We start from the raw sequence: 18,707 nt of genomic DNA, 5'->3' as shown, positions 1-18,707 counted from the left end.
GACAGCATCCCAAGGAACATTTCTACTCAAACAAGCTCAATGCTTGCCCACTGAAATCATTAATCAAATGAAGGGAACCCTTCTGCCTGCCTAGGAAGGGAGCCCTGGCTTTGGGGATGTAGGGCCTTTTGGAGAGGATTGGGAGAGAAGAGCCTTTTCCCAGCAAGCGCCCAGAGTTGGGGCTCCAGAAAGCCTACTGTCGCGTGTTTTCCTGCCTGGGGAGGCTGGCAGGGGCAAGTGCCCAGAAGGAAATGTTTAGCATTGCAAAAGCAGCAAGTGCTGCCAGTTTGCTTTCCTGGGTTTGGCCTGGGGTTTAGGTTCAGAAGCATGAACTCTTAGACTGAGTAAACCTTACTAACTTCTGGACCTGCCTCTTTCCTCTCAATTCCCTTTCTCCACATCTAACCCATCCTTCAAGGCCCAGATTAAATGCCACTCCTCGAAGAAGTCTTCCCTGGCTTCCAGTTGGAGCCGCTCTTAGCTCCCACTGCCCTTTCCCTCTGCCTCTTCGGGGGCACTTATCACTCTGTACTCTGTGTGACTGCTATTTCTATGCCTCCTGCACTGTAGGCTTCTTGAGAGCAGGCTCTCCATCTGGCCCATCTCTTTATCCTTCACAGCACCTCACAGTCCTTAGTAGGCACTCCATAAATGTTGAATAAATGAATGAGAGATGCCAGTAGTCTTCAAACTTGAATACCAACTTTTCAATCTCTCCAATTTCTTCTTTTCCTTTTTACACTTAAACCTGGATTCTGATTGGGTGCGGTGTCTCACGCCTGTAATCCCAGCACTTTGGGAGGCCGGGGCAGGTGGATCACTTAGGGTCAGGAGTTCAAGACCAGCCTGGCAAACATGGTGAAACTGAAAATACAAAATTAGCTGGGCATGGTAGCATGTGCCTATAATCCCAGCTACTTGGAAGGCTGAGGCAGGAGAATCACTTGAACCTGGGAGGTGGAGGTTGCAGTGAGCTGAGATCATGCCACTGCACTCCAGTCTGGGCAACAGAGTGAGACTCTGTCTCAAAAAAAAAAAAGAAAAAGAAAGAAAGAAAAGAAAGCCTAAACCTGGATTGTAGCAGAAGGCAAAGGCTATTGGACAAATGACTTGGCTCATCTGGTTTTTCCTTTAAATAATGAAAGGCTAAGGCCCCATGAGAAAGGCACAGCTTTCCAAGACAAACGAAGAGAGCTGAACTCTGAATGCCTTCAAGGAAATGTCAGAGTCAGCAAACTGCATCTCAGTGACCTATTGGCTCTGTGGTTCAGAGTTTTCTGAGGTCTCTGACTAGTGCAGGACATTTGACTAAGTAAATGGAGAGCCTCCTTCTGGAGGCTGACTGACACCTGTGTTTGCATGCCCCTAACCCGTTTTCTGTGTGTCTAGTTGCTGGGGGACTATGACAAGGTCAAGGCTATGTCTGAGGGCTCGGACTGTCAGTGCAAGTGTGTGGTGAGACCCCTGGGCCGGGATGCCTGCCAGAGGATCAATGCGGGGGCCTCCAGGAAGGAAGACTTCTATACCGTGGAAACCATCACCTCAGGCTCGTCGTGCAAGTGTGCCTGTGTAGCACCCCCATCGGCCCTCAATCCCTGCGAGGGAGACTTCAGGCTCCAGAAGCTGCGGGAGGCAGACAGCCAGGACTTGAAGGTAGGACCTGGTATGGGGCAATGCCTTGGACGAGAGGGCACTTTTGAGATCCACAAGTCTGGTAAGGCCATGGTTGAAGATTCTAAGCCCTTTGAAGAAGGTCAGGCCTGTTCCCTAGAGTGCTGTGTGTGGATCAAGGTTGATGTCCTAGCAAACTTGTCCTTTTCAGCTCTGGTGTATAAGGGAGATGCTTAAAGCAAAGTGTGCCTACCCCTCCTTATGGAGCCAGAGAGGCTGGGCCTGGGAGCAGCTGCCAGGCCCAGCTGGCCAAAAGAACTCAGCGTTCTTCAAGAAAATTGCTGCCACAATTTACTATCAGCCTAGCACACACCCCAAAGAGGCAAAAGAAAAATGCGAGTAAGGCTTTGGCCCTTAGCACAAGGGCTGGGTTGGCCTAGGGAAGGAGAGGCCGGGGGCCTGCTCTAGATTGGGTCATCAAACTGTGATCCTATAATGGTCCTTAGGGTAGGGAAGCTCAGGCCCCACTTAGGCAGCCCCATGGGTTGGCTGAGGGCTTCTGATCCTGCACCCCCTCTTCCCTTGCAGCGTGGGGTAGTGGAACAAGCTGGGTTTTGGAGTCAGACAGACTTGGGTTCAAATCATAGCAGTGTGATCCCACTTAAGTTATTTAACTTGTCTGCCTTCCAGCTCCTTGAATAACATGTGGTAATAATAACATCTACTTGGTGGAGTAATGAGATAACAACTAGGAGGTACTTGGCACGATACCAGACATTCAGCTAGGCATGACCATGTAAATGAATGAATGGATGACTATGTAAAGCGCTGCTGGCATCTGGCACTCACTCAGTGACTAGTAATCATTAGTGTCTCTTTCAGCAGAGTAGTGTTTACCAATATCAGGAGTATCTCAGGATTTGGCCAGAGCCGCAGCTCTGCCATGGAACAACTTTCTGAACCAAGTGCCACACTCACTCAGTTGTAGGATTAGACTCTGGGGGAATTCTGGAACACTATAAGGCAAAATGTCTATTAGAAATCAGGAAATTATCACAGTACATACTAAGAGCCAGCTATCTTTTTATGGCTTCTATCCAGGATTCAGCTCTCTTCCTCTGGTAGGGAGAAAGGAGTTTACCTTCTAAACATGAGTATTTCATACTTGGACTTCTTCATGTAGAAGCTAGGCTCTGAGATAAATGGGGAGTGTAGATTGCAAAAGTGTGGCCCAGTAAACTTCCAAGAACTGGCCCTCATCATCTTCCCTCTTACCCTGCAGTCTGCATGCCCTCAGTGCCGCCAGAGCCTCGGCCACCTTCCTGCCAGGGCCTCTGTACTGGCAGGCAGGATGGTATTGATAAAAACTGAGAAGGCTGGGTGCACTGTGGCAGCTTGCCATAGAGCAAGAGTCTCAAAGATGGGACGCTGAGTCCTCTTTTAGCCCAGGGTCAGTTTAGCACTTTGTGCTAAGGAGAACCTGTCGATGTCTTTCAGAGCCTTTAGTAGACAATGAAATTGAGTGTTTCAGAAGCACATCCTCAGGGTATTGACATGTAGAGCCACCTTGTTGAGTATTTATAGAATAAAAATACCTGTTATGAGCCAGCTATCTTGGGGAAACAGAGATGAAGGATACAGAGACACTGCTTGCTTGTTTTCTTTTTTTAACTTGTATTTTAGGTTCAGGGGTACATGTGCAGGTTTGTTATAGAGGTAAACTCACGTCATGGGAGTTTGTTGTACAGATTATTTTGTCACCCAGCTACTAAGCCTAGTACCTAATAGTTATTTTTTCTGCTCCTCTCCCTCTTCCTACCCTCCACCATCAGGCAGCCCTTAGCATCTGTTATTCCCTTCTTTGTGTCTTTGAGTTCTCATTGTTTAGCTCCCACCTATAAGTGAGAACATGTGGTATTTGGTTTTCTGTTCCTGTGTTAGTTTGCTAAGGATAATGGCCTCCAGCTCCATCCATGTTCCCATAAAAGACATGATCTCATTTTTTTCATGGCTGCATAGTATTCCATGGTATATACATACTGCATTTTCTTTACCCAGCCTGTCATTGATGTGCATTTAGGCTGATTCCATGTCTTTGCTATTGAGACACTACTTTCAAGGAGCTCACAGTCTAGTAGGAAAGACAGATGTCAATGCAACTGACAGATTTCATAAAAGAGGTATAAACAGTTTGTGAAGAGGTCTAGACCTCAGGTTTACTTGTTCTTGTAGGACTCTCCCATTTTCTTACCCAAACATTTCGGAAGGCAGAATGCACATACACCATTGTGCTTGCCTACATCCCTGTCTACACAAATGTGTTTCTCACGGCAACCTCTCAATTCCTGGCTAGTGGCTTTCCTGTCGAGCCCCCAGTATGCAGATCTGAAAGGAAACTCTGCCCTGTGTCTGTGTGCCCCAGCCCTGGACTAACCCCTTGCCTTGTTTCATAGCTCTCCACAATCATAGACATGTTGGAAGGAGCGTTCTATGGCCTGGATCTCCTGAAGCTACATTCAGTCACCACCAAACTGGTGGGGCGAGTGGATAAACTGGAGGAGGTAAGGAAGATTCTGGTTTCTATATCTTTTTCTTGATTGAGCCCAAAAGCATATCAAACGTCCCACAGTAAATTTTCAGCTAGCACATGTGCTGACTAGACTTAACCCATCCTATTCTATGAAAGGGAAAATATACATAAAAGATTCATTCAAAATTATGCCAAATTGTTGGTGACAAAGAAAATCAGTTAAGTAGAAATGCCAATACTGTACCTTCTTTTTTTCATAAAATCCCCTTAATCATATAACCAATGTCTTTCCATTTTTACCTTGACTTCCAGGGACCTCAGAACTCAATGAAATGTAAAGGTACAATAAGCATCTTACCTCCAGTTTTAAGGTGGAGTCATCTCCTTCCTTTGTATATGGTTCCTAATTTCTCTTAACTGTTCTGGTGCATACCCCTGTATTTATGTGTGTGAATCCATCTGAAATTCATTTTAGAGGAAGAAGACATAAAAATGATTACTAATAAGTAATGTTCCCTACTCAGCATTCAGGCTGGTCATGCCCAGAATGAATGGACGAGTCATGCAATTTTCATAGACAAAGACACCATACTATTCTGACTGGGCTCTGGGAGTGGTACAGGTGGTGCTGTGGTTTTCATCTAGTGGTGTGTGAAGGGAGCTGGGAGTTGTTACAGATACTGTAATAATGTTGACAGTGCTTGTTGCTGTGATGCCTTAACATATAGATGAGAAATCATGTAGTCACCCAAAAAGTAACTAACGATCATTATTCAATCTTATTGGTAAGGAACTTTATGGATATGTTTCATTGACTCGCACCTGGTTCTTGGACTGATAACTTGAAACAGTGACTCAAAGAGCTGCTGCTCTGAGTGGAAATCTATTTCTTTAATGTTTACAGCATTACTGTAAGTGGCAAATTTAATAACACAATGACTGTAAACATATCAATATTCCTTATGAAAAAGTGGACTTTTGGGGGGCTATCATGAAAGAGCTAAGGTTCTTCGATCTATGATTAGTAGATGTAGCGGTTTGTGGCAGAAAGAGCAGCAGGCTTGGAGTCAGGACAGAATGAGTTCCTTACTCTTTGTTTGTGCTGCCAAGCAGCCATGTCCTACCTTCTCCATCTGGACAGTGAGAATAGTACCCTGCCTACTCCATATGATTGCTGAGAGGATACAAAGTATGCTAATCAGTATGAAAATGCTTTGAAATGGTTAAATTAAACAAGGCTCTGACCATGGAGAGATTGAGGACAAACATTCCTACATTACTTTGCCAGGATAGCTGGCACAAAGATGATGAAACACTGAAGTTACAAGGATTAGTTTCAACACACTCCTTCCACCCCTTAAAATTTTCCCGGAAAGTGAACACTAGTTCCTTTTCCACCCGCCCTTGGGCTTAGCTCCTCCAATGCTATGATGAGATGTTTTCTGAATAAGGCTGTTGGCTCTGGGAGGGTTGGTAGGTCCTTAATCACATCAGATATGAGGTCTGATGAGAGGGGTCAGGGTTTTGGATCCTGAGATTTGTACACAGATCAGAGTGGCCAACAGAACCGCATCAGCCTCCTCCTCGCTGTCTGCCACTCTCTTCAAGGGGTTCTCTCAAAGAACTAGGACCCTGGGCATCTTGAGTCTCTCCTTCCTCAATGTTAACAGCCAAAATGATGACATTGTGGATGGTCAGCACCATCCCACTACTAATGGACTTCATGCAGGCTTCGGACTCTTCCTCCTAGTTAAAACCACTTTCTGGTTCTTTCAGATACATTCAAAAGGAATTAAACCAAGGTCCAATATTGGGAAGTGCCTCTGTTTTCCTAGGCCCCCAGAACCATCCAAATGTGCAATGCCCCTTTAAGAAAAGGATTGCTCTTCTATAGGAACAGGAGCGACAGCAACCTCTTCTGCTTTTACCTGACCTTGGCAGCCAAACAGTTGCCATTCTGCCTGGAGAACACAGCTTGAGAAAGATAGATCTGGAGGGAGAGTACAGTGCTCTGGAGGCCAAGGTCAGGTACTCAGCCTCTGAGAAGGCCAGTGGGCTGGGCTTGTCCAAGGACCACAGTCTTGTTACAGCCTTGTCTAGCAGCTGAGCCCTCCCTGCTCAGGAGGGAGTATGGGTGAATTTGATGCAATACCAGTGCCCCAGCAGGGTGGTATCGTCTATACAGTCACACAGTAACCTCGTTTTTGCAAAAAACAGTTTTAGTTACATCAATGAGAGTATCTGCTTGCCAAAGCTGTGATATGTTTAGTAGCAAAGATTGGACCTTAATAATAATAATCCCTTACATTTGTATAGCATATTACGTTTTGTAAAGCATTCTGTATACATTTAGCCCATTTGTTCCTGGGTAATGTGAGAGCCAAGGAAATTAGATGACTTGACCAAGATCACAGTGCTAGGAAGTACAGGGCCTTCTGGTTCCTGGTCCAGGGCTCTTTCTAATCAACCCCGTAAGTTTCTTCAAATCATTGCCATCTGTCCTGCAAGCATCAGTTTTTCTTAACAGGAACTTCAAACAATAGCTCTTCCAGGGGAATTTCTAGGCAGAACTGTGACTCTATCCCATAGACCCATTAAATAGGATTAAAGTTGAGTTCGGGAAGGAGGTTTCCCCAAACCAGACAGCCTAAGGTGATAGGGTGCTGAAGTGTGACAGTAGTCTTCAGATGGGTCTGGGCCCCTGTGCCCAAATAGTGGAGCACTGTATTTGTTTGAGTTTGTCTCAAGGCTCATGCCAGCTGACTGTCTGGAGTCTGCAGTAATTGAAAAGGCAGAATGTTGGGTAAATTGAAAAAACACTCCCTCTCCAGCTCGGTTCTGCAGGAGGAATGGAAGTTAAATTCTGCTCCTGGTCCTTGAATATTCTTGAATCCCAATGGGAGCTCTTTGGAGGTCAGACAAGACAAAAAAGGGGTCAGATTGGAGAGGCATTTTGCCCAGAGTAAGATCAATGGTTGGCAGTATAAGCAAGCACACATTTATGGGATATAGCCACAGTTCCACCTTGGGTATATAGGAGGAGGTAGGAATGGAAACTTCATTTGCAGATGAAAGAGGAAGGAAGGAGAGAGAAATGGAATCTGAACTATTTTGAGTTTACCTTTTGGTAAAATCAGCTCTGGGAGCAGCTCTGCTTAGTGGAATGATTTTGGGTAAGCTTTTGTTTTAAATACTGAAAAACGACACATGCATAGAAAAGTGTATAAACAATGAATATAGTTTAACAAATTACCATGAACAAAATGCCTGTGTAACCACCAACCAGCTCAAGAAACAGACCAATTTTAATACCCCAAAAGGCCCCCATATGCTCTCTCCTACTCATACCCTTCCCTCAGGGGAACCTTTATCCTTACTTTTATGTTAATCATTTTCCTTGTTTTTCTTTATAGTTTCATCGTTTAAGGACGCATCCCTAAATGTAATAGTTTTGCCTTTTTTGAATGTTAAATACATAGAATCCTACAGAAGTGTGTGTGTGTGTGTGTGTGTGTGTGTGTGTGTGTGTGTGTGTGTGTTGGGCTTTTTTCACTCAACTTTATATTTTTAATATTTACCTATGTTGTTTTTGTGTCTTGTGGTTCATTCATTTTTATTGCTGTGTAGTATTCTATTGTATGAATATACTACAATTTATCTGTTCTCCTGATGATGGGTATGTGGATTGTTTCCAGTTTCTGAATGCGTAAATCAGAATAGCCCTATGGACATTCCTATACATGAACATCCCTGTGCATGTACCCTGGTGCATGTGTGCCTGCATTTCTCTATGGTACATTAGATAAGTGGAACTAGAAGATAAGCATTAGTTATGCTTATCTTCAACTTCAGGAGATATTGCCAAACTGTTTTCCAAAGTGGTAGTATAAGTTTACATTGCCTCCAGCAGGGTATAAAAGTTCTGCACACATCCTCACCAACACTTGGTATTGTCAGACTTTCTAGTTTTTGTCAATTTGGAGGCTATAACTTAGTAGGGTCATTTCACTGTGTTCTAGAAACTTAACTCCAAAAATATCTTTCCAGTTCACTGGGGGAGGTCTGAAACCTCATAAACCAGTTTTAAAACTGCTCCAGGAATAAGAAACACTCAAGGTGGTCAGCAGTCCAACATAGACCCCAGCTGACCTCTCCTTCCTGTGAGTGGCTGGGAAGGGGAAGGGCATGCAGGAAGTGTAGGTACATGTTGGAGTTGAGGGGTGGGTGGGCACAGAACATAAGTATCTGAAGAGATAGGAGTTAAAAGTCTAGAAAGAAAACCTGTAACTTCCAAAGGCAAAGGCAAGCCCTGTTCATTGCATACAGAGCTGGCAGTGGCACTCACTCAGCTCAAGAAAAGACTTCATCCGGGCTCTGAGTGCACTCAGAGACCCATAGACTTGTAGGCTGCCAGGCCTAAAGGTGGATTCTGAAGGCAGCAGGACTAGAGGCATGGTGTTCAACCCCTAGCAGCACATACTGCTTCCAGGGGCAGATTTATTACTAAAGTGGAGAAAAAGACAAACAGAGGGACAGATCATTATAATAATCTTCTAGCATCAAGGCTTTAGTTGGTTTCAGTCATTTCTGTAAAATTTGCAAATTTTATGAAGAAATGTCCCACCCCCACCTTGCTGCAGGATACCTGTAAGTGTTTATAAGTGCTTGAAATGCTTATGTACACATGTGCCTTTGTATATGTGTGGGTGCATAGCCCATGCTCTTAAAATAGATGCATGCCTGCAAGCTTTCCATAGCGTGGTTTCTGCTTTGTCCCTTCTGGTGTGTGTATCTCTTTCCTTTTTCACGAATCTACCTGCTGGAATTTGCAAACCACACCCATGAGCATAGATGGCACGAGGGAACCTTGTGTCCCAGCTGAAGACTTTTCTCCTGATAATGTTGCCTCCGAGGAAGATTTAAGTCCACGATGGATTTACCAGACCCAGAACTGGTCCGCTCCCCAGAATGTACTGGCACAGGCATTGCTGAGGGCTTCTCCCCCACACCTAAAGCTTTGGTGGCTTTTGTGTTTCTGGACTGAAAGGCATGATCAAAGAAGCATTCCTGACCCTGGGGGATATATCGTTTCACCAGCTAATAGGAAAACGTAATTTTCATCTGTGCAGACTTGGCTGTGAGTTGGGGGAGCTGTCTCTTTCCAAGCCCTACCTTTCCTTCCACCCTCCACCCCTGTCGAGACACCCCCAGGGCTCACTCTCCTGATCAAATCTGCTCTTTCCGAGGGGTTTGCTGTAAGTCATTTCACTCTTCTTCCTCAAGTGAAGGCTTGGAGAGGGGCACTGCTTACCCGGCCTGACTTCAGTGTCCTTATACGTGAAAAGGCAGAGGGTCGAAGTTAGTGTTTCTAAAATATATTTCAGCCTAACACTATTTAATTCAATTTACATCTTAATATGAGTTAAAGCCAATATATTACCTCTCCCAGGGTTGTATATACTTCAAATCTAATTTGCAATTGTGGGATATAAAGTTTTCTTCTTGGCTGAAGAGACTTACAGTGCGAGTGTCAGCCCTCCATCCGTCGGCCTAGGAACAGTTTAGAGCTGCCAGGATGTGCAAGTGTGCATGGCTCGAGTGGCTCTATTTTAAGGGGTAAGATTACCCTAATATAGAAATTCATCACCAGAGGCCTGGGTCTTCTTGCTGTTGCCTTGTTTGACTTTCCTGCCAGGCCCTGGACTTCTTAAGGGCAAGCTGGGTCAAGTCATCTTTGTTTCCCAGGCCCTGGTCCAGCACCTGATGTGGGACAGATGCTCCACAGCTGTTTGGTTGGATGAATGTTCAATGGGGCAGCTGGTGGCTCCCTGAACCCAGGCCTGCCTGTCTCTCCCATCAGCTGTGGTCGGAGGGATTAGGCCATGGCCTGCCTGTCCTGCCATCAGGAGCACCGGCTGTTTCCAGCTGTTCTCTTCCCCAGCTCTCTTACCAGGGGCTAGGAGACAGCTGTCAGCTGGGGTTGCTGTCCCAGGCCATCTGGTCGTAGCTGTCTCCTGGAGGGTGCAAAGGTTGAGCACGGTGAGCTGATGGGAACTACGAGCCCTCCCCCCTTGGGTCCAGTTACCCTCACACTTGCTCAGGTCACTCCCATGAGAAACTATGTCCCATCTGCCCTTGGGCTTGCCATCTGTATCTTAGCCCTGTGCGCATCCAGCTATCTGCCAGGGAATCCTGATGCCCACAGGACCTACCAGGCAGCCTCCCAGGCAGCCTCCTTAGATATGGCTGTGTGCACCTGCTGTGTGACTTGGGGCCAGGGTTTGCCTCACCTGCAGTCTGGCTTTGTCTACTCCCACAGGTGTCTAGTGTGTCTCTCTACAGCACACCAGCCTTGGGTTCTTACCTTCCTCCCCATGCCAGCCATACCAAACCCTGGCTTCCCTTTCCTTTTCCACCTGCATGTCTGCTATGGAGACCCCAAGGGTCCCTCCCACTCCAGCTTCACCCACATGCCTCAAGCCTGATTTCCTTGCCCAGCACTGTACCACATGCAGCCCCTTATCCATCTCTGTGCCAAGCTTGGGTGAGGTAGGTGTCATCATTCCTTCTTTTCCTGCCTGGGGCCTAGAGAGGTTTCATCCCTTGCCCTATGTGGTTATATAAGTAGGCCATGACTGTGGTGTGGGTTTACACCTGATCTCCAGAGCCAGCACCCTCCCCCGACCACACCCCTGTCCCTGGTTCTATTTGTAAAAACGAGACCACAGAGAACTGCCAGAATTCTGCCCCATGGTCATCTTTCCCCTGGTCCCAAGGTTTTGGCTTAAGATACTACACGGTCTCACCCGGGCACACGCACACGTGTCTAAGAGCTGGACAAGGTCAGGATACGGTCTGTGTCCTTCATACCCATTCCATCGGTCTACACATCTGGTTGTGCTGGCCCTACATGGCTTGTCAAAACACCAGCCATGCTGACTAGGGCTGACTGATGGCTGTACCCCTAACTCCACCTGCATCCGGTTCCCCTTTGCCAAGGGTCCCTGCCTTGTTTGCACGTTCTCTTCCCTCTGGTGTGTGTGCATCTGGCTGAAGTTAGCAGTGGACACCTGTTCCCATCTGGCAGTGTGGCACCAGTGGACACCTGTTCCCATCAGGCACCCTCCAGTGCCCAACTGCATACCTCTCCTGCACATGGCACTTGTTCTATGAACACCTCTGAGTTCCTTGGCTCTGCCTGGCCCAAGGAATCATGATGACAACGTTCCCAAATCTTTCATTGCCACAGTTGGCTGTGTCCAGCCTTCTGTCTGAGCCCTCTATCTGTCTGCTCTTTCTCCCTCTTCCCTTCCCTCTTCTTCAGTGTGCCAGGATCCTTGGCAGGGGCCATGGGTACACTTGCTTCTGCCAGATAGGCACGATTCCCACCTCTGCCGCCACATTGCCAGCACTGCCCACGAGCCAAGTTGCACACACCAGAAATGTCATGGTTGCAGCTGTCCCAGGGGGAAGAGCCTGAGGCATGAGGTCATGGGGTTCACCTATTTCCCAGGGCAGAATCGAGGGTACCCTGTGCAGGTGGCATCCCCTGCATCTCCTGAGAATCGCCTCACCAAAGGCCTTTGGTGTGAGAAGCGCAGAGTCCCAGGGAGAGGTGGGGAGCTCTTGAGGGCCAGCACCCCCAGGTTGGAGGTGGCTGACTGGGGGTGGCCAAGGAGGGGCAGCTGTGGCTGCTGCCCTGGGGGACACCAGCTGGCTGAGCCCTGCAGGCCAATGGGGTGATGCCACCGCCAGCCTCTTGTTTATTCAGGCGGCTGGCAGGCTTTGCCATTCCCGTGAGGGGAATAAACTGTACTGCTTCTCTGGGTTCTCAGGGGCAGGCTTGCCTAAAACCCTCATCTGTGGAAATGCAGAATAATGGCTCCTCACTGACACCCAAAAGGGGATGGGAGACTATAAATCAATGTGAAGGGGGACTCCCTAGGGCCCTAGAAACCCTAAGACCGGGGTTGGGGGGGCACCCTTTGCCTCACAGTGAGTGTGCCACACCCACTGATGCACAGTGTTTAGGAATCTAGTGAGATCTTCCGTCAAATAATAAGGATACTTAGGCCCAGCCAGTCAGTCCACCCAGAGGTGTCACCACCTTTAGTAGAGTCCTAGGGCCAGAGCTGGGCCGCAGGTGTGGACACTCCTCAGTCCGCTCCTCAGAGAAGCCTATCGACCTGGCTGAGGAGTCAGTGCGTGCATCTGTCACATCACCCTGGCAGAGTTTCTGCAGAGCACTTTTCACTAGTTGATATTTTCTTGTCTATTTCTTTGTCTATTGCCTACTTCCCCCTCATGGAGGGTGCCCTTCACCAGGGCAGGATCCCAGTGGCCTTGCTCACGCTTGAACCCTCAGTGCAGCACTGAGCACGTGAACGCCTTAATAAAAAGGTAACACATTGAATCCCTGCACCTGCTGGGCTTGGTGATCTGTCTTAGGCTGTGAGAGCTACAGGAGGGGCATCCACAGGTGTTGCTCTCAGCAGGTGCTGATGGATTACAGAAATGCTTGAATCCCACTAAGGGGCCAGGAACTTTTCCCGTCAGTCCCAGAAAGAACTCAGCTCCTATAAAACAGCCCTTCTCACACATTTCTGTCCGTTTTTCAAGCAGCTGTGCCCCAAGCTTTCTCCACTTAGGGCGGTGCTTCTCAAACTTTAATGTGTACACAGAGTATCTGGGGATCTTGTTAAAATACAGATACTGATTCAGCAGGTCTGAGTGGGCCTGGGAATCTGCAGTTTTAACAAGCTCCTGTGTGATGCTGATGCTGCTGAACTCTGCACCACACTTTGAATAGTGAGGATTTATGAGAGTCCAACATTTCTGTATTTCTCAGCATCTATGCATATCCTGTCATGTATCCTGAACCCAAACTGTAAGTATTCTCCGGCTTTTTGACATGCTTGGTGCTGCTGAGAGCTGTCTGTGTGCCGGGATCCTCTCCTGGTGTTCTTAGTGATCCAGCAGGTGAGCTGAAGAAGCAAGGGCCAGGAGGCTGGGTGCTGGTTCCACTCTGCCACTTTTTTGTAGTGACCTTGAGCAAGTCACATTCTTGCTCTGGGCCTCAGTTTCCTCTCTGTGAAATGAGAGGTTAGTCATGAGTTCTTGGGTCCATTCCAGCTGTAACATTATATGAAAAATAGCAGCCACTTAGTCCGGTATGTTTCATGCACATCCATATATATTAACTCACTTAATCCTCCTAACAACCCATAGGAAAAGTGCTAGTATTATCCCCACTTTACAGATGGGAACCTGAAGCAGAGGTGTTTCAGTAATGTGCCTGAGATCTCAGATCTAGCAATAGCAGCATGGAGGATGAACCGGTTTCCTTCAAAATCCATGCTCTTACCCATTACACTTGACGGCCTGATAGATAACACCTAGGAGTGACTGCGCACCCGGGAAGATCACTCATTCTGAGCATTCTTAAAACAAGATCTCTTTCTCATGGAACTTAGCTCTCACAGTTAATTCTGTGCAATTTAGAGAGGCTGGCTTAGCCTAAGTGCCATGGAACACACTGAGCCCTTCCAGCACTCAGGATCTGGCATGTGATGAAATGCCATAAGAATGGCATGGCTGATGGTTCGGGAGCCAGGTTCATTTAACAAGCACCTATGGGGCTTCTCTGGGCAGCCCCTGTAGGAGACTCTGGAGCCGCGGTGTCTGGGTGTCACAGCCTGGATATGCCCACCTCCTCTGGCTCTGCACTACTGGGACTTCCCTCTAGGATGTTAGTAGCATCCCACCAGGCTGCAGAGCTGTGCCTGGCAATGTCAGCTTTTACACTTCCTGTGTCTGTTTGTTAAAGAAAGATGGAAAGCAAACACATCCTCTATTTTACATCATTGCTTCCTCAACCTCATAAACAGGGCCCAAAGGAGAACATCACATTTAAGAATGTAGATGCTCATGGAAACTTTAGAATGAGGGCCAAAGTTGGATCTCAATATAGTCAAATCTCTTTAAAAATAACTAGAGGAAAAGGGGCACCTCTAAGGCTGTCGACAACTTTCCTTGATTTAAATCCCATTCAGTGTTCAACTTCTCTAGGAAGCTACCTGGGACGCCTCCACTTTCCTCCTGCTCTGAACTCAGGAAACCTCACATTTGGTATTTACAGAACCTGACATGGTTTGTCTGTCTCCAGTTATAGTTGCCATCTCTCCCACCCCACCCAGATCCAGAACCCCAAGGATACTTACAGCCTTTCTTTCTGTAGCACTACACTTAGACACTCAAGAGGTACTCACCAGTGTTGGTTGAATGAAATGTAGCCTTGATCTTCTCTGGTATGAACCAGGTCTGGAACATGGCTAATTTGCCAAGTGAGGGGTCATTTAGTGAAACTGTTTTTATGGGTAAATAGGAAAGTTTGAAGCCAGCCTATCAATTTTCTATGTAAATGATGCTTTTAAAGTACCAGGGAATGGTTTGTGCTCACTAAAAAGGCAGAGTAGTTTTTTGTTGTTGTTGTTGTTGTTTGTTTTGTTTGTTTGGCCACCTCTTCCAAAATTGCTTAGAAAGCCCCTCTTTCATTAACTGAGCTACTGGTTCAGATGTATGGGATGCGAGTGAATGGAATTCTTTAATGTTCTTCAACACTGGATAAGAGTGGACTATATACAAAGGACAGAAAAAGAACCTGGTGTCCTGGTGGCCCAGAGACTTGTCAATGTTATTAATAGAAAAGCTATGGTAGTTTGGGCAGTATTTTCTGTAGTTGGATATCCAAGCGCTGAGCTGCCCTGGAAATACTGCCAGGAGACCTGGTACCGGTGCTCAGCCCAGGGCTGGGCACACTCTCTAGCCCCAATCACTTGTTGGATGATTTCTCAGCCTGTCTGTTGTGTCTGTGTGCTCTGAGCGAAGATGGCTGCTAGCTGCCTCCTGCTTGTCTTCAGGGTGCTTTAATGGATCATCTTTTTTTTTTCCTTCTCAGGAAGTGTCTAAAAACCTCACCAAGGAAAATGAACAAATCAAAGAGGACATGGAAGAAATTCGAACCGAGATGAATAAGCGAGGCAAAGAAAATTGCTCTGAAAACATCCTAGATAGCATGCCAGACATCCGCTCAGCCCTGCAGAGGGATGCAGCAGCAGCCTACGCCCACCCAGAGGTATAGCCCCAGCCTCCAAGGGCCTCTGATCACAAGCCCTGGAAGTGTGATATCAGCATCTCTCCTCTGCATAGAACTTTTCAGGCTTCAGTCCTTTCACAGAGATGAGCTCGCTTCATCCATACAATTGTTCTGCAGGTTCTGTAGATTTGATGAGCAGTTGACTCCATTTTACTTCACACTGAAGCCCAGAGAGGATCAGTGAGTGTTGAAGCCAGGACTGAAATCTGAGTCTGAGTCCCAGCCCCCATTTTTTTCAAGATCTGATATCCCACCTTTGTGAACATCTCTTGTGTTTGTAAATAGGGAAGATATGCATGCTGGCTTGTCTGGGACCATCCTGGTTTACTCCTGCTGTCCTGGCATGATTTTTTTTTTTTTTTTTTTTTTTTTTGATAGGTTCCAGCTCTGCCACCAAGGCTGGAGTGCAGTGTTGTGATCATAGCTCACTGCAGCCTCAAATTCCTGGGCTCAAGTGATCCTCCTGCCTCAGCCTCCTGATTAGCTAGGACTACAGGCACATGCTACCATGCCTGGTAATAAAATTTTTTTATTTTTTGTAAATACAGGGTCTTGTTATGTATTTTCTGTAAATGCGGCTGGTCTGGAACTCCTGGCCACAAGCAATCCTTCTGCGTCAGCCTCCCAAATCACTGGGATGACAGGCGTGGGCCACTGTACCTGGCCCTGGCATGGTTATTAGTAGCACCCTCTTTTACTCTAAAAAATGCCCCAGTTTGGAAACAAATTATATTCCATCCCTCCTCATTTATAGGGGACTTTGTAATTTACTACATATTTTCATAACTATACCATGTGGCTGTCGTCACAGCTCTAGAAAAGCAGGCCAGACGGAGATCAATAGCCTCATTTTACAGATAAGGAAACAGATCCAGCTATGAGCATGGTCTCCCTCTCTCAGTTGGGAAGTGGTGGCAGAGGGTCTCAAACCTCTGTTTCTTCCTACCCAGTTGTGTCCCTAGCACGAAGTTACCCATGAATGGATTGCTGCCTAATGTGATTTGAGTGATACCAAAAGACCTCCTTGCTTAAAAATGCCTCCCCATTTGGTGCCTGTTTCTTTTGGCTCCAATTACTACTAAGTTATGTTTATGTACTAATGGTTAAGTGCTACCATTTAATGTATTGGGTTATTTACTGAATTGTTGTCCAAGAAATAGGCATTAATTTGGGAGATAATCCAAAAGGAAGAGGAAACAGGTAAGTTTTGGTGGCAGGACTTGAAGAGTCCTATTAGCAAGACACATTATTAGCAAGATGGGTCTGGATCAAGTGTTATAAAAGGGGTCACTGGGCAGCCAGGGGATGGCAGCATTTAAGAGAGACTTTGCTCATTTTAACTGGTTACCAGGGGTTGATGGTAGATGGCAGAGTTGTGGCACACTGGTGCCCAGGGAGTGGGTTCCAGTTGGGCCATTGAGGGATCCCCTCGGCTTCGGGGAGTCGTTCTGAGTGTGGATTGAGCAGGGCCTGGGACAGCTAGAGTCCCTGAGCTGGTCTGTCTGTATGCTGTGACATGAAGAACTTTTGGGAAGCATTGCTGTGCAGGACTGTGTTGCCTGGGCCATTAAGAATTGAGATAAGAGAGGCAGGAAGTCTGGGTGTGTGGGCTTGAAACTCTTGGGTAGGGCAGTTCATCAAAGGGTGCCAGGCAGGCAGCAGCTGGGTTTGGGGATCTTGGGCACACATGTTCCAAAGGCAGGACTGCAGGCAGATTGGGGCTTTTGAGGTAACAAGCCCTGAGAAGAATATGGTGCCTCCACCCTCCCCAATATGTAACTCAAAATAAAAATTCCAAACCATAAAATAGATATAAGAAAGGCCAATAATTTTCTGGCTTTGCCCATGATGACTACTTTGGTGCTTTTTTGGAAATATCATATTTCTTCAGAAATTATTTTGATTCTCATTTTTGGGTGTCCCTGACAGGCTGGCTACTGAGCAAGTGTTTAGTCTGCTTGGTGGATCATCTCTGAGTGGGTATGAGCTCATAAACCAAGGAGCCAGAAGACATTTGGGCTGGAAGGGAACTTGAAGGCTCCCACTCATTACACCTGGGCTCAGTGTCTCTTATTTCAGCCCACCTGGCATCGGTGGCTCAGCTGCCCAGTGGAGCCAGGCGCCCCTTTCCTGCTCTGGCTTCCAGTTTCCCAGTCGGCTGAGCTTAAGAGTGCATCTGTTGTCTTGATGACACATTATGTGGTATGTTCGGGAACCCAGCTCAGATTTCCTGAGGGCAAACAGCAAACCAAATAAAAAACACCAAACCCTTTTTCTCCTTGCTCAGCAAAGTCCCTTCCCCTCCTCCAGTCCCCATTCATCAGGCTGCTGAAGTTAGCACAATCCTTCCCCACCAGGGTGGTGGGGCAGAAAGGGGAAGTGGTGCCGGAGGCCCCAAGGCAGGATCTTGCCATCCCTCTCTTTTGTGAACCCCATGCCAAAAAGCGGGTGGAAGGGGCGCTGGGTTTAGTTGTTCATTTTCAGGGTTCCTGTAGATAATGTCAGAGCTTTCTTGGAATGGTGAGTGTTAATTTGTTGAGGGCTTCTCTCTAAGATGGTCCTTGCCTGAGGGGTTGGCATGGGGCTCTGGGGGCTGGGTTGGGAGTGGAGAGAGCAGGGTGAGAGTGGAGAGAGCAAGGTGGAAGTAGGAACATTCGACTCCAGGAGCTGAAGTCATACAGCAGACACTTGGATTCATAGAGAAAGGAAATTGAAGCTTGGAGGGGGCCGCTGCCGCCCAGTGCAGCCTGTCGCCAGTGGATCCGTGGAAATTATATGTTCTCTGGCAAGGGCTGTCCATGGTCTTGCTCCATCTCCTTGGCTGGGAGAAAGCACTGCAGTTCCCACCCTTCCCTGAGAGCCTGGAATTAAAGACAGTTACTGGGGTTTGCGGCGAAGAAATGACAACCTGCTTTTGCAATGCAGAGGGAGACCAGGGTCCGGTAATTAGATGCCGTTCAGCGTCTGAGTCACGGGCTGTGGCCAGGGTCTCCTGACAGCCTGCCGAGCAGCTCTTCCCAGTGGGAAATGAGGGATCTCCCAAGTCTGCTGGGTAGGAGCCAGACCATGACCCGGAGGACTAGGGCAGGCAGGCGAGTTTTTGGATGGCAGGCAAGTTAGTCCTGTGGTCACAGCTGCAGGCAGAGGCTTAATGGAAGGAAGAGGCAGGCTCTGAGGGCAGGCAGCCTGGGGCTGACCTGAGTTGTGTGACTTAAGAACTGCCCCTCTCAGCCACTTAACTGATTGACTTTCAACCAAATTGCTGAACGACTCTGAGCCTCTGTTTCCTCATCTGTGACGTGTGGATAATGGTATCTACCTTCCCCATTGTTGTAAGGGTTAAAAATAATACAAAGGGACATGGCCATAATAGGTGTTCATTAAAATATCATCTCCACCAACCAGATATCC

General features: G+C 47.2%; 1 protein-coding gene across 4 annotated transcripts in view, besides 1 other annotated feature; it reads left to right on the top strand.

Annotated features, from left to right (window-relative positions):
- OLFML2B (olfactomedin like 2B) overlaps positions 1 to 18,707 on the top strand; it is a 40,678-nt gene that overhangs the window by 2,298 nt on the left and 19,673 nt on the right. For 3 of the 4 annotated variants that reach the window (NM_015441.3, NM_001297713.2, NM_001347700.2), the window contains exons 2-4: positions 1,390 to 1,653; positions 4,065 to 4,172; positions 15,099 to 15,275. In NM_015441.3, the coding sequence (NP_056256.1) occupies positions 1,390 to 1,653; positions 4,065 to 4,172; positions 15,099 to 15,275 (549 nt within the window). Of the gene's footprint in view, positions 1 to 1,389; positions 1,654 to 4,064; positions 4,173 to 15,098; positions 15,276 to 15,648; positions 17,817 to 18,707 lie in introns of those variants that run through there. The other variant, XM_011509398.3, reaches the window with a different exon arrangement.
- Positions 18,196 to 18,697: an enhancer, noted in NCBI's record as "H3K4me1 hESC enhancer chr1:161972665-161973166 (GRCh37/hg19 assembly coordinates)". NCBI's record gives its function as "activates a minimal SCP1, AML or CMV promoter by ChIP-STARR-seq in naive H9 embryonic stem cells {active_cell/tissue: H9 hESC(naive)}" and the evidence as "EXISTENCE:reporter gene assay evidence [ECO:0000049][PMID:30033119]".

The sequence above is a fragment of the Homo sapiens genome, chromosome 1, assembly GCF_000001405.40.
Source record: "Homo sapiens chromosome 1, GRCh38.p14 Primary Assembly".
Lineage (NCBI taxonomy): Eukaryota > Metazoa > Chordata > Mammalia > Primates > Hominidae > Homo > Homo sapiens.
The sequence above is the reverse complement of the archived record's forward strand: the minus strand, read 5'-3'. Positions and strand labels throughout refer to the sequence as shown.